The following is a 14662-nucleotide window of genomic DNA, read 5'->3' as shown; positions in this document are numbered from 1 at the left end:
AGTGCTTCATGTGAAATACACTCAGGATGCTATGGTGCCTGCGAGGAGCACCTGCTCCAGCTTCCACCACACAGTCTCAACAGAGCATTTCAGGCCAAACAGACCCAGCGGGGACAGAGGCCCAAACAAGTGTGAGCTGCTGGAAGAAATCAGGTGCCACTCAAGGATGAGATGAAAGAAGTGGACGACATCCTGAGAGGATGTTCATAACTTCTTAGCCACAGCAGTTTACTTTCTTCTGAACTTTCTCTTCTACTCTGAGCTTTGAAAGATATGAGTTTGAGGGGTAGAGAAGAATGATGAGAGGGAAGAGTTCTTCCCTAGGCCTTGCTGTCCGAGTCCCCGGTCACTGCCATTGCAAGGCCTTTGAAAGAGGATGGTGCCCTCTGGGAGCTCAGAGAGGCAGACTGGGCACCAGAACATGAGGCGCTATGTGAGGTGCCCTGGCAGACGTGGGGACAGAGGGTTGGCCAAGGTGCACAGGAGGCTCACAGCTCCGGGGGAGGGCGGGAGGCAGTCTCACTTCATTCTCAACTTCCAGCTGACCAAGCCGATATAAAATTATTTACTTTCCCTCCCGCGATTGCTGCTTCCTTCAAACATATTGGTTGTTTTATCTCCTGGGTGTAGCAGAGTTGGAACATTCTGTCTTGGCAGGATGCCTCTTTTTGGAGAGAGTTCAGAAGGAGCTGCCCTTTTTGGCCTAGAGCAAGCTGAACCAGAAGTGGGTGCTGTCAAAGTCCAGGTACTTTCTGGTTGCCACCACCTTCAGAGGGAGGCTGGACTGGTGGAGATCAGAGAAGAACCAGCAGTCACAGGTCCTGAAGAAGGGAAACACAAATTCTGCTTTGGACTTGACAAAATTGGATATTTAAGATGAGTTGTTTGCAGGTTCTTATTGAAAAACAGTTTCCACATATCAGGTCCCTTCATACAGGTGTTTAAAAGTATAGATGAGTTGCTTTATCACAATAAAAGAAATTGCACCACCAGGCATGTTGTTTGTCTTGCTTCTGGGTATTAATGGTAGGATTTTTCAGGCCTCTGAGAAGGGGGTTAGACCTCAGAGAGTGAGTCTTACAACTCAGCAGTGGTTCCCTTCAACTTTCAGAATAAATTTCAACTCCCCTACTTTTCCCAACCCCCTGGCACCACATATGGCCTGTGTCTGTAAATCCACTAAAAAAGATTTTTTTTTAACAAAAATCACGAGACTTCATTTCAGGAAACAGTTTGTAAACCAAGGAGAAGAAGTCTTTGGTACAAAACGAAAGTGCATTAAAAGAGATAAAAAAGAGGGGTTATCTATTATAAAAAAAGTTTTTGCCCAGGTTCCCATTCTGGTTCGCTTATGCAAAAGAAGGATGCAAACTTGCTTAGTTTTGATTGGCTGATGCCTGCTGAGTTCGATTGATCAACACTTGTTGAATTCTGATTGGTCAATTCAGGTCTGTTGGTTGATCCGGGTGACCATGAACGGAGACAGACAGTTATGAAAGCCCCAAAGTTAAGTGAGTCTGGGAGTTTTCTGATAATGCAGACTACATATGTGACCTCTAGTCAGCAAATGGCCACTTGGCTCTATTTTGAATTTAGGCTCAGTTAGCCACTGAGGCATCATCTTGAAGGATTGACTCTTTCAGGATTCCCACCTGCTTTTCATTTTTAGGGAGAAAAACGGTTATCCAAAATTAAGCCATGGACGAACTGCATTTCCCATCTTTGCAGCTTGAATGAAACAAATCATGAGGTATGACTTGTTTCAAGTGAGAACTTGAAGCCCAGCCCTGACCCTCCCCTCATATTCATGCCCTGTGGGTGTCCTAACAGTCACCCCTACCTCCTGCTCATCTGTCAGCTGGCCCCATCCCATGCAACCTGGCCTTCCAAAAGCAGACAGAAATGAATCCTTATCATTTGCTTCTTAAATATGCCAGGTCTTCCACTCACCCCCTTTTTTTTTTCCTGATGGTCAGCACACCTGGCCTCATAGACTGTCCTGCCACAACTGTCCTGAGGTATAACCAGTATGCACCTGAAATTATGACCTTCTGAAATGAACTTACAATCTTTCTCACTTGAAAAACTGGCTACTTATGATAGATTCTTTTTCCCAATTGTGTAACCCCCCCTGGACCAGCACACTCTTTTGTCACCTTGCTGGTTTCTTTGCTGGCAAGAAAATATGCTTCAGCATGTGCTTAAGATCAACTGGTCTAAGACATATCCTGTTTTAGGAAGCCCCTGCCCTCCAGGCACACTCTTCTCTGAAGATTTTCTGTCTCCTTCTGGCCAGTCCCTGCCCCCAGGCATTTTCACATGCGAGGAGGACTGGTAAGTCCCTAGACCCATGCCCTGCTCACTCCAATTTGTCTTTCAAGATTCAGCTGAAGAACATCTCCTACTGAGAAGCCTCTCCTGATGGACTCTTCCCCAATTCCTGATTTTTTCCATTCCTCTCTCCATAACAGAGAGGCTCCTCCTCCATGCTGCCATGGTCACCTTGTTAACATCCATCAGTGGACACCATAAAACAACGTATTTTTGAAAACTTGCTAAGCTTTGTAATTTAATTGTGAAATGCATGGGAAATATTTGTAGCTAACATTTAGTTGAGTGCTTACTACGCATCGTGTCCCATTCCAGAACTTTACACAAATTATCTCATTAAAGTTTTTTAAAAGCCCTACTCTGTTGGTGCCTACTCTGAAGAAAAAACATATTTTCCTCTGTTCTTACACCATGACAATGAACACAGAAGATTTCCGTGACCAAATGTATGGGGGTTTCTCCCCACACACCAAGAAAGCAAGCAATTCTGTAGCAGACATCATCTGGGTGTCCTCCAGTTCAATTTAATTCTAGCATTATGCACCTGGAGATAGTGTCAGTAACCACAGGTTGAGGGCTCAGTCCCACAAGAGCACCCCCTCCTTCCCACCAGTCACAAGTCTGGGCTTCTAGAACTACTCATCAACTGGCTCCAAGTTGGGGTTACCACAACCCCCTCTTTGGGTTCAATTAATTTGCTAGAGTGGCTCATAGAACTCAGGGAAACACATTTACTGGTTTATTACAAAGGATATTTTAAAGGATACAAATCAACAGCCAGATGAAGAGATACACAGGGTGGAGTCTGGAAGGATCCTGAGTGTAGGAGCATCTGTCCCCGTGGAGCTGGGGTGCACTCCCCTCTCAGCTCGTGCATGAGTTCTTGTTCACCTTCCTATAAGCCTCTACCTATTTATTTTTCTGGAAGTTTCCCAAACCCTGTCTTCTTCGGTCTTTTATGGAGACTTCATTGAGTAGGCATGATTGACAACCAGGTAGAAATGCTATTGGACCAAAAGAGTATGGTCTCATGCTAACAGACTGAGTGGGGAAACCCAGCAAGGCCTGTTTGTTCAGATTCTTCTTGGCCTCTGTGTGCAGCATTCCTTCCTTCTGGGCATGGGGCAGGACCCTTTCTGAAATGAGGATCTTATGGTTTACAATCAGACAAGTAGGTCAGGAAAATTTCTTCATGGCCAGCTCCAAGACAGAAAAGTGAGGGAAGATGAAAGGAGGAAAGGAGGGCAGGAGAAAGTCAGAGAGAGAGAGAGAGTCTGTTTTCTGAGGCCTTCTTCTGAGGCCTGAAGCACTCCAACATTATAGCAAAAGACTGCAACAAGGGCTTTAGGAGTTATGAGCCAGGGACCATGGATGAAAACCAGAGTATATATATGTCATAATACCGCACTTACCACATAGCCCATTCATTTCATCATGGCTGTCAGAGCTCTAATTTTGTTTGGATGTCTACTGGTCTTCCTCAAGGAAAGATACCTCCCAACTCTAAGAGAAATTAGATCACAGTAATTGGTTGGGGCCAATTACTGTGATCTAATTTCTCTTAGAGTTGATTAGGTTCAGCATGGACATTTCATACAATTCTGGTCAGTGAACGATGAAGAGAAGTTTAATGGTTAGAGGAAGGTGAGGCACTTTTTGAAAGTTTCTTGATGGCAGAGACCTTGGTAAATACTTTTGCAAGCAGGAGGGGAACTAGCTGGGAATAAGGAGACAGAAAGAAAATGTCAGAAGCAAGAAATAAAAAATATTTGAGTCCTTGAGTCCATTGATGATTGGAGTAACCAACCAAGGTGTATCACAATTTCTTTGTATGTGAGAAGATATATTTTCCTTATTGTTTAAGTAGAAATATTAGTGACCTCTTAATCACTGCCAAATTCATTAGAATGCTTTATTATTATTTTATATTATCATTTTACACATGAGGTAATTGAAACTGAAAGAGCTTAAGTAAGTAATTTACGCAAGATCAACTGCTTGTAAAATGTTACTCTGGTTCTAGGACTTTTAAGCACCTCACAATGCTCCCTCTCTGAGAAAGGGGCCTGATCTTGCTCAGTTTTTTAATCCTTGCTTCTAGCACAGTGTCTGGAATATAATTAGTGTTCAATAAATACTTTTTAAATATGTGAGAGCTTATGTGATCTGAATTTTTGTAGATATCCTTTCCTTTTGTTTTTTCGAGATGGAATTTCGCTCTTGTCACCCAGGTTGGAGTGCAATGGCACAATCTTGGCCTCCCAGGTTCAAGCGATTCTCCTGCCCTAGCCTCCCAAGTAGCTGGGATTACAGGCATATGCCACCACACCTGGCTAATTTTGTATTTTTAGTAGAGATGGGGTTTCTCCATGTTGGTCAGGCTGGTCTCAAACTCCCAACCTCAGGTGATCTGCCCACCTCGGCCTCCGAAAGTGCTGGGATCACAGGCATAAGCCACTGCACCTGGCCTGTAGATATCCTTTCCTTAACATCACTCAATAGGCTGATATTCTCGGTACAGAAAAATATATTTCATTTGGATCCTGAAACACTCCAACTGGGTACCCTGAAGAAGGAAGTATTTCAAATATGGAAGCAATGTAACTGTATTACAAACAGAATAATAATGAAAATAACCCCCATAGCCTCTCCAGTCTAACATAATTGCCATTGCAAGGGGTTCCCTTTCAGCCCACTTTGTATGCATACTGGGCAATTCAGTAGACACATAAAACACACTTGATAAAAGTTAATATCCATTTCTAATTTTATAAAAATTGTGGCAAACGAGAAAAGAGAATACTTTTCTAGCCTTATAAAGTATATCCCTCAAAAAATTACTGCTTTTAATGTTGAAAATATGAAAATAATTTTCCCTTAAGTTTAGGATCAAGACTATCTCTGCTTCACTACTTCTACTCATCATTATATTGAAAAATCCTATCTAGTGGATTAACACAAGAATAATAAAGTTGAAAAGACAGGAAAAAAAGGAACAAAGCTATTATTATTCACGGGCAATTTTACTATCTACAAAAAAGACAAGGCCAAGAGAGTCTACAGAAACACTATTAGCCCTAATAAAAACTGTCTGCCAGGTTGCTAGATCAATATACACATTGTAATCCAATATATCTGCACCAATTAGAAAAGGTAATTTTTAAAAACACCATCTTCAACAGCAACGAAATCTATAAGGCTCGTATGCATAAAACCCACAACAAGAGTTAAGCAAGACCCCTGTAAAGAAAATTATCAGAATTTACTGAAAACCATTTAAAAAGACCTAAATAAGTGAAGAAATATGACAAACTTATGAACTTAGATTATTATAAGATTTCCAATCCTTCCCGAGTTAAACTATGAATTTTACACGAAGAAGAACGAAGAGGGAACTTGACTTACTAAGTATTGATACTTGATATAAAGTTATATTATTTAAGATTTCAAAAGCATCAGGTAGACCAGGGCTTCTCAAACTTTCATGCTCCAACTGTGACTCTTGTGGAGATCTTGTGAACCACAGATCCTTTATTAAGAAGGTCTGGGGTGGGGCTTGAGACCTAACAAGCTGCCAGGTGATGCTGGTGCTGCTGGTTCATGGACCACACTTTGAGAAACAAGGGTATAAATAATTAAAAGAACATAAGACGGAGCTCAGAAGCAAACCCATGCATTTATGAAAGCTGGCTATATGATAAAGATGTCATAGCAGATTGGTAGGAAAGTGAACTATTTAATACTTTTGGCCCAATATCCTGAAAAAGGAGGAGCAGGAGTGTCAGAGTGAGAGATTCTATGTAGCCGGCTTTGAAGATGGAGGGAGAGGCCACAAGCCGGGAAATGTAGGCACCCAGAAGCTGAAAAAGCAAGGAAATTGATTCCCCGCAGGAATGCAGCCCAGCCCACATCTTGATTTTAAGCCAGTGTAAGCCAAGTCAGACTTCTGACCTCCAGAACTAGAAGATAATACATTTTCTGATTTAGTCACTAAGTTTGTGGTAATTTGTCAAAGTAGCATGAAGAAACTAGTACACCATATAATAAACGGTGCCATAAAACAAAGCAAAAAGAGAAGCCACAGGTGGGAAGAATTTTGCAAAGCATATAGCCGACAAAGGATTTGAATACAAAAATTCAAGACAAACTACAAATTAACGAAATAAGACAAGTGACCCACTAGAAAAAGGGGCAAAAGACATATACAGAATTCACAGAGAAGGAAACCTCTGTGTTGGCCAAGAGAAATAAGAAGAGATATACAACCTCACCAACAATCTTGGGAATAAAAATTAGAACAACGGTGAGATACAATTTTCCATGTATCAAAAATTGAAATTTCAATTTTTGATAATGTCCAAGTGTTGAGATTGTAGAACAATAGTAACTTTCACAAAATACTGACAAGAGTAGATGTTTTTGCAGTGACTTTGGAGACAGCAACTTGGCAATTTAGTAAACTTGAAGGCACTCCTACTCCATGACCTGACGATCCCATTCGTCGGTATTTCACTAGACACTCTCATATATGTACTTGGAGAAACTGACAAAACTGATCATTAAGGGATTTTTGTAATATTTAACAGTTGGAAATAAACTAAATATCTTTCAGTGGGAGAATAGATAAGTAAATTGTGGTATAGTCTTGCAATGGAATGCTATACAGCAATTAAAATAAATGAACCAGCACTACCTCTCTTACCTATGTATGTAATTATCCCCTGACTGGTTCCCCTATTTTGTGTCTTCCCCATTTTTGTACCACTGGCAGATCTCTGAAAATCTGATCATGCCTCTACTTTAATTAAAAATGCTCCAGTGGATTCCTTAAAGAACTAAAAATAGATCTACTATTTGATCCAGCAATCTCACTACTGGGTATCTACCCAAAGGAAAAGAAGTCATTCTAGGAAAAAGACACATGGACATGTATGTTTATTTCAGCCCAGTTCACAGTTGCAAAGACATGGAACCAACCTAAGTGCCCATCGACCAATGAGTGGATAAAGACCAATGAGTAGCTAAAGAAAATGTGGTAGATATACACCATGGAATACTACTCAGCCATAAAAAGGAACAAAATAATGTTTTTTTGCAGCAACTTGGATGAAGCTGAAGGCCACTATTCTAAGTGAAGTAACTCGGAAATGGAGAGCCAAACACTATATGTTCTCACTTATAAGTGAAAGCTAAGCTATGAATATGCACAGGCATACAGAGTGGTATACTGGACATTGAAGAGCCAGAAGTGGGAAGGTGGAAGGGGTGTCGGATAAAAAAACTACATATTAGGTACAATGTACACTACTTGGGTGACAGGAGCACTAAAATCTCAGAATTCACCACTATAGAATTCATCTATGCAACCAAAAACTACTTGCACCCCAAAAGCTGTTGAAATAAAAAAATTAAATTTGTAATGCATTTTTATGTTCCAGTGAGTTTTTAAAAATGGTTTTATTGAGGTATAATTGATATACAATAAACTGAACATATTTAAAGCATACAGTTTGATAAGTCTGGGCACATGGATAAGCTTGTGAAACAGAACCATGATCAAGACAGTGCACATATCCCTCACCCCAAAAGTTTCCTGGTGCCCCTTTTAGTCCCTCACCCCAGCACTCCCTTCCCACCTGCCCCCAGGTATCATGAATCTGCTGTCACTTTAGAGCAGTTTGCATTTTCTAGCATTTTAAACAAATGGAATCATTGAGTATATACTCTTTTATTTGTGTCCTTTCACTCAACAGAGCTATTTTGAGATTCATCTATGTTGAAGTGTGCTTCATTACTTTATATTGCCCAGTAGAATTCCATTGTATGTACTTGCCACAATTTGTTTATCCATTCACCTGTTCATGGACATCTGGGTTTTTTTCAGTTTTGTGTTGTCTTTGAGACAAAGTCTCATTCTGTCGCCCAGGCTGGAGTACAGTGGCGCCATCACAGCTCACTGCACCCTCAGATTTCCGGACTCAAGCGATCCTCAGCCTCCCAAGTAGTTGGGACCGCAGGCATGTGCACCACACCTGGCTAATATTTTAGTTTTTGTAGAAATAGGGTCTCCCTGTGTTGCCCAGATTGGTCTCAAACTCCTGGGCTCAAGCAATCCTTCTGCCTTGGCCTCCCAAAGTGCTGGGATTACAGGTGTGAGCCATCACACCCAGCCCTCAGTCTTTTACTATTACAAACAAAGCTGCCATGAACACTCAACTACAAGTCTCTGTGTACACATATGCCTTTTTTCCTCTTAGGTAAATCCATCAAAGTGGAATGGCTGGATTAAATGGCAGGTATATGTTTAACTTTTAAGAAACTGTTGTAGCCGTTGTCCCATTTTACAGACCCTCTCCCCTAGAAGGCTTCCATAGGTTTTAAGAATGAGATTACAATGATCTGGGGCACTTGTCAGGCATTCAGATTTTCAGTCCACTCCCATGAGAAAAATCTGATTCACTAGGTTGTGAAGGGGCTGGGAATCGGAGTGTTTAACAGCAGGTACCCCAGATGATTACTGGAGCTGGTGAGTTGTGAAACATCACCCTAGGGGATACAGTCTTAACTCCCAGGTGATTTTTGGAGCAAGTGAGTTATGAAAAAATACTCTAGGGAATACAGTCTTAACTCCAGAGCTGGGTTTACACGCCATTCAGGATCTTGCTCCTGTCTAGTTTCCCAGCCCAGTGCTCCCTGCTTCAGCGTTATTAAACTGTACCCTGTTCTTTGTATGACCGACTCTCATCCGTCCAGTGCTTACTGAGTGTAGTGGGTCTAGTAGAGACCCCACAAAATATATGTCCATGTCCTAACCCTCAGAACCTGTGAATGTGATCTTCTTTGGAAAAGAGACCTTAGTAGAGGTAATTAAGTTAAGGAGCCTAAAATGAGATTATTCTGGATTTAGGGTGAGCTCTAAATTCAGTACCAGTTGTCCTTTTAAGAGAAAGGAGGACAGAGACACAGAGGAGAAGCCCATGTGAAAACAGAGACGACATGGAGTGATGCTGCCCCAGGCCAGGGAATGCCAGGGGCCTCCAAACACTGGAAGAGGCCAAGAAGGATTCTCCAGAGAGCCTTCAGAGGAGGTGTGGCTCTGCCCACGCTGTGATCGTGGACTGCGGGCCTCCAGAACTGTACATTTCTGTTGTTGTTTTAAGCCACACAACTTTCAGTTATTTTTTACAGCAGTGAGGATTTAAAGATTAAAAGGTGTAGATCCCGCTCCTGAAGAGTGTAAAAGTAGAAAAATGAACCAACAGGGAACAATTACATTAAATTAAGATAATTACTATGACAGGGTATATTTAGTAAGGAGAGTGATGGCAAATGTTGCCCAAGGGAGGTGGCTGTGTCCTGCCCTCTCCTTTCCCCCTCCACTTTACCCCCCTCTGTGGTTCATGTTGCCTATCTCAGTAAGTGGTATCCTCACTGCAAATCACACAAGCCAGAAATCTAGGAGTCACTCTGATATCTCACCCCCGGCCACAGGCCCCATGACTTCTGTCACCAAACCCCTAATAATGACATTTATTTCCTTAATATTTCTAAGAATTCCCTTCTCTCCCCTCCATAGCCACCACCATAGGCCAAGCTCCATCATCTCCCACCAGAGCAGTCCCTCCTAACAGGTCCACTGTGCATCACGCTGTGCATTAAACACGCTCATGGAATCACATGGCTCTCAGGAGAGAGGGTAAACCTCATAAGTGGACTCAAGGCCCTGCTGGTCTAGCCCTGCAGGCTGCTTCTCCTCCCCACTGATTCCCTGTGCTCCACCCACTGCCACTCTGGTCTGCCTTAGTCCTGTGCTTTCCAGCTCTTTTCACAGCTGGCCTATTCTGCAGCTGTTCTCTGCATGAAAGAGCTATAACCCTACTGCACCTAGGTGACTGCTACTGCCTCAGCCATCATCCCTATGGAAGCCCTCCTCCACTTCCTGTCAAAGTCACAGCTTCTTATTTTAATCCCCGAGAGAGTTGTGTGCCTCCCAGTCACAGTTGCAATTTACATTGGCCTGTGTGATTATTGCACTGAAGTAGGCTTTCCCCAGCCCACGAGATCCTTGGGCACAGGACTGTGACCTTTTTACTCACTTTTGTGTCTCTAAGGCACAGCCTGGTGGCTAATACATAGTAACTACTCAGTTCACATCTGTGGAATTAATGAAGAAATTGCCCATTGTTTATAATAGCAAAAAATTGAGGACAATTTACTGAGAACAAATTAAATAAATTATATCTATCTGTGCTATGTAGTACTATTCAGCACTTTCAAAAATAATGAGGTACATCTGTACTTACTGATGTGGAACATTGGCTATGATAGATTTCGAGTAAAAAAACAAAAAATGAAAAGAGCAAGTTGCAGAACAATTCTTAGGGTAAAACAGTGTTTTAAAATTAAAGCAATGATTTAAAAATTTTTTAAAAAATGTTTGACCTGGCATAGATGAAGGTATGGAAGGACAACATCAGTTAATACTTAGTGCTAGGCAGCGGGACTGGGAGAATCAGAGAAGCAATGGACATGAATTTGATAAAGAACTTACACAATTTTGCAGTGTTTGGACTTTTTCTTTTTACAAGCATATATCATTTTGATAATTCAAGACATGCTTTTAAAGATTGCCAAGAAGACAAGAAGTGACTCAAGGAAGGGAGGCACATTCCCTGTCACGCACCACCACCTCCTTTCCTGCCCTCCAACCCCATACATGCTTGACCTTACCCACTTGGCATAGACCTGCACCCCAACCTTCTCACCTGTATCCCTGCCCTCTCGCCTTCACTCCTGCCCTCTCACCTGAGCTGGTGTCCTCTCACCTGTGCTTATATCCTGTGGTTTGCATGTCACCTATCCCAATAAGCAGCACTTATGTTCCCGATAAGTACCACCTTCCTAGATTGTGTGGTTCTTTTGCAAGGTTCAGAAAGGTGAGGCTGTTGGAAAGGCAGTTAACCTCAAGTAAATTCCTGTTAGTGACTTTACCTCCCTAACTGCAATGTTAGCTTTCTGAGAAGGAAAGGAACTAACATATTCAAAAATTAAACTCCTAATACCTAGCAGGCATGCCTACTTATAGCTCATCAAATCCCCACAGGAACCTCGTGAGTAGGTATTCTCATCTCCATTTTACAGACCTGTGGCAACAAGAGCTTGCCACTTGGCCAGTGTCTCACATCAAGGACTCAAACAGAGCTCTGACCGGCTCTCCATGCCAAACTTTCTGTGCCACAGCATTGGGATGGTGGGGGGGCATGATTGCACCATACTGCCCATGGATTTCCTAGCTCATTTCCTCCAAGATAATAAATGCTGTATAAATGTTTGTATTATGAGGAAAGTAGTTTATCCTTCACCCAGCATGTCCATTAAATAGTCTTTGTATTCATTTTCTATTGAAGCTTGATCTCCCCAAAGCTTAAAATAGGATTGAAAATGTGCAGTGTTTGACCTATTTTCAGCCATTAGCGTAATTTATCAAATTAGAGAACTGAGAAGCAACGACCCTGAAGAGGAGCCAGTGCAAGCAGTCTTGGGGTGGGGGAGGCCAGGAGTCCCAGGGACACAGGGTCTCAGGACCAGTAGAGGAAGAGAAAGGAGGAGCGCTGACAATGGCTCAGAAGTCGAGGTGGGAAAGAGCAAAGACAAGCCCCACCTCTTTCACAGCAGAGTTGGAAAGAGTTGCAGACTTCATGGAGGCCACCTGGACTCGGACCCCCGCTCTGCTGCTCACTGACTGCGAAGCTGGGTCAGACTCCTTTATCACTTGAGCCTCAGTTTCCTCCTCTGAAAACTGTGAGCTGCGACTCACCTCACCAGGGTGACAACATTAATTTTAATGAGGTAATGTATGCGAATCCTGCCTATATAGAACGAAAACAGTAAGACATTTACAATGTTCCATATGGCCGCTCTACTGACATGACTTTGTCTTCTTTACTTTGGATTCAAAATTCTCAGTCTGAAAGATGGGATGTTACAAAATTGCATTAAATGCTTCAGAGGCAGAGATCATCTTTACATTCCCCCATCTCCTAGGATCCAGAATGGTGTCTTGCACATAACAGGTGCTCAGAGAGTATCTGCCAAAAGAATGATGAATGAAAGAATTTAGCTCACAACTACTACTTAAGCAGTGGCCCTTTAGCAGTAATGATTTTTACTGTCTTGCTCCCTGGCCCTCCTCCCAGGGTGTCTTCATGTGCTAATTCATCCAACAGCAGCCATTTGGGGATGATTAGAATAGGTGGGAGGAGCTATTAGGAATGGGGCACGTGTGGCCAGAGAGTCCAGGTGAACAACAGGAAGAAGAGGCCCCTGATCAGCTGTTTGCTGAGCATCAAAGACCTGGGGTGGAGCAAAAGGAGTCAAGTGAAAGAGTGAGACTAGGGAAGAATGCAATGATCTGATGATAAGTGAGAAGCAGCCTTCAAACTATTAAAAAAAAAAAGCAAAAGTAACAAATGAAAATAACAATGGATCTTAATTAAATGATTATTTTAAACACATAATGCATATACACACCCAAGTTGTACTTACAGGCACTCCAGTTGGTGTGATATATCTAAGGAAAATAGATTCTGCTTGATATTTGGTGGGCTTAAAATAAAATGTTTCGTGTGTGTGTGTGTGTGCGTGTGTGTGCACGCACATGTGTCCTTTCTCCATGTCCCAGTAAACACTGTACTATGCTTCCCTCCATAGGTGCTGATACATAACACTGTTCATTTTCAGCTGCAGCTCTTGATTGCTTTTGGCAGCAAAAACACTGCTCCAGGTCCACATGAGAGAGTGACTTGGTAGAAGATTAAGATGGATTCTTGAATGGTGGTCCCCAAAAGATGTATGCATATCTATGTCTCAATCCCTAGAATTTGTAAATGTTACCTGGTTTGGAAAAAGGATCTTTGCAGTCGTAATTAAACTAAGACTCTTGGGATGAAATCATCCTGGATATTCAGTGGGCCCTACATCCAATGGCCAGTGTCCTTATAATATCAGGGCAGAGGGATGTTTGAGACAGACGGAAGAGGAGAAGGCCATGTAAAGACAGAGGCAGAAATGGGATTGATGTGTCTACAACCAAGGAATGCCAAGGATTGCCCCAGTCACTAGAAGCTAGGAGAGAGGCATGGAATAGATTCTTCCCAAGAGCCTCAGAAGGGAGTGTGGCCCTGCTAACACTATGATTTCAGACTTCTGGACTGCAGAACTGCAAGAGTTCTATTGTTTTTGTTTTGTTTGTGATGGAGTTTCACTCTTGTTGCCCAGGCTGGAGTGCAATGGCAAAATTTTGGCTCACTGCAGCCTCCACCTCCCGAGTTCAAGCAATTCTCCTGCCTCAGCCTCCCGAGTAGCTGGGATTGCAGGCATGCACCACCACACCTGGCTAATTTTGTATTTTTAGTAGAGACAGGGTTTCTCCATGTTGGTCCGGCTGGTCTCAAACTCCCGACCTCAGGTAATCCACCCGCCTCGGCTTCCCAAAGTGCTGGGATTACAGGTGTGAGCCACCATGCCTGGCAAGTTCCACTGTCTTTTTTTCTTTTTCTTTTTCTTTTTTTTTTTTTTTGACAGAGTTTCACTCTTGTTGCCCAGGCTGGAATGCAGTGGTGCAATCTTGGCTCACTGCAACCTCCACCTTCCAGTTTCAAGCTATTCTCCTGCCTCAGCCTCCCAAGTAGCTGAGATTACAGGTACCTGCCACCACACCTGGCTAATTTTTGTATTTTTAGTAGAGACGGGGTTTCACCATGCTGACCAGGTTGGTCTCAAACTCCTGACCTCATGATACACTCACCTCGGCCTCCCAAAATGCTGGGATTACAGGCGTGAGCCACTGCGCCCAGCTGAGTTCTATTGTTTTAAGTCACCCATTGGGATAATTTATTCCAACAGTCCTACAAAACTGGTACAATTCTGAAATGCTATCTTCTCACAAATGTTCAATGTGAAGAATTTCACATAAACACGCAAACCTAAATTCAAACTCCCATGGTGAAAAGTCCCCAGGGAAGTCTTAGCCAGCTTCTCTGTGCTCAACAAGTCTCACAGAGTATGTGTCCAGTGTTCCCTAGGCTCCTTGACTCCTGCATCAGAGCTTTGCCCCCTTTGTAGTATTACAGATCCTGTATAACCTTCCCCAGAAGACGTGCTCTATGGAGCCCCCTGCCCAACACCAGCTCTTAGAGAAGTTTAGCACAGTTTCTCTCCTGCCCAAGCTTAAGGGCTCTAGGGCTTCAGGAAAGTCTTAAGATGTGCCTAAAATTCTCGTAATGAGGATATGTTGATTCTGGTCCTGGGAGTGGAGGGACTGTCTTTGTAG

General features: G+C 42.7%; 1 long non-coding RNA gene across 1 annotated transcript, besides 1 other annotated feature; it reads left to right on the top strand.

The window, feature by feature from the left end:
- Window positions 1-1440: 1440 nt before the first annotated feature.
- Window positions 1441-2554, top strand: LOC105378919 (uncharacterized). Its single transcript, XR_947727.1, has 3 exons — window positions 1441-1511; window positions 1670-1750; window positions 2382-2554. It is a non-coding gene; the product is annotated as an uncharacterized LOC105378919 (long non-coding RNA).
- Window positions 12253-12790: an enhancer, noted in NCBI's record as "OCT4-NANOG hESC enhancer chr1:116773350-116773887 (GRCh37/hg19 assembly coordinates)". NCBI's record gives its function as "activates a minimal SCP1, AML or CMV promoter by ChIP-STARR-seq in primed H9 embryonic stem cells {active_cell/tissue: H9 hESC(primed)}" and the evidence as "EXISTENCE:reporter gene assay evidence [ECO:0000049][PMID:30033119]".

The sequence above is a fragment of the Homo sapiens genome, chromosome 1 (genome assembly GCF_000001405.40).
Source record: "Homo sapiens chromosome 1, GRCh38.p14 Primary Assembly".
NCBI lineage: Eukaryota > Metazoa > Chordata > Mammalia > Primates > Hominidae > Homo > Homo sapiens.
Note: the sequence above shows the minus strand (reverse complement) of the source record. Positions and strands in the feature narration are given on the sequence as shown.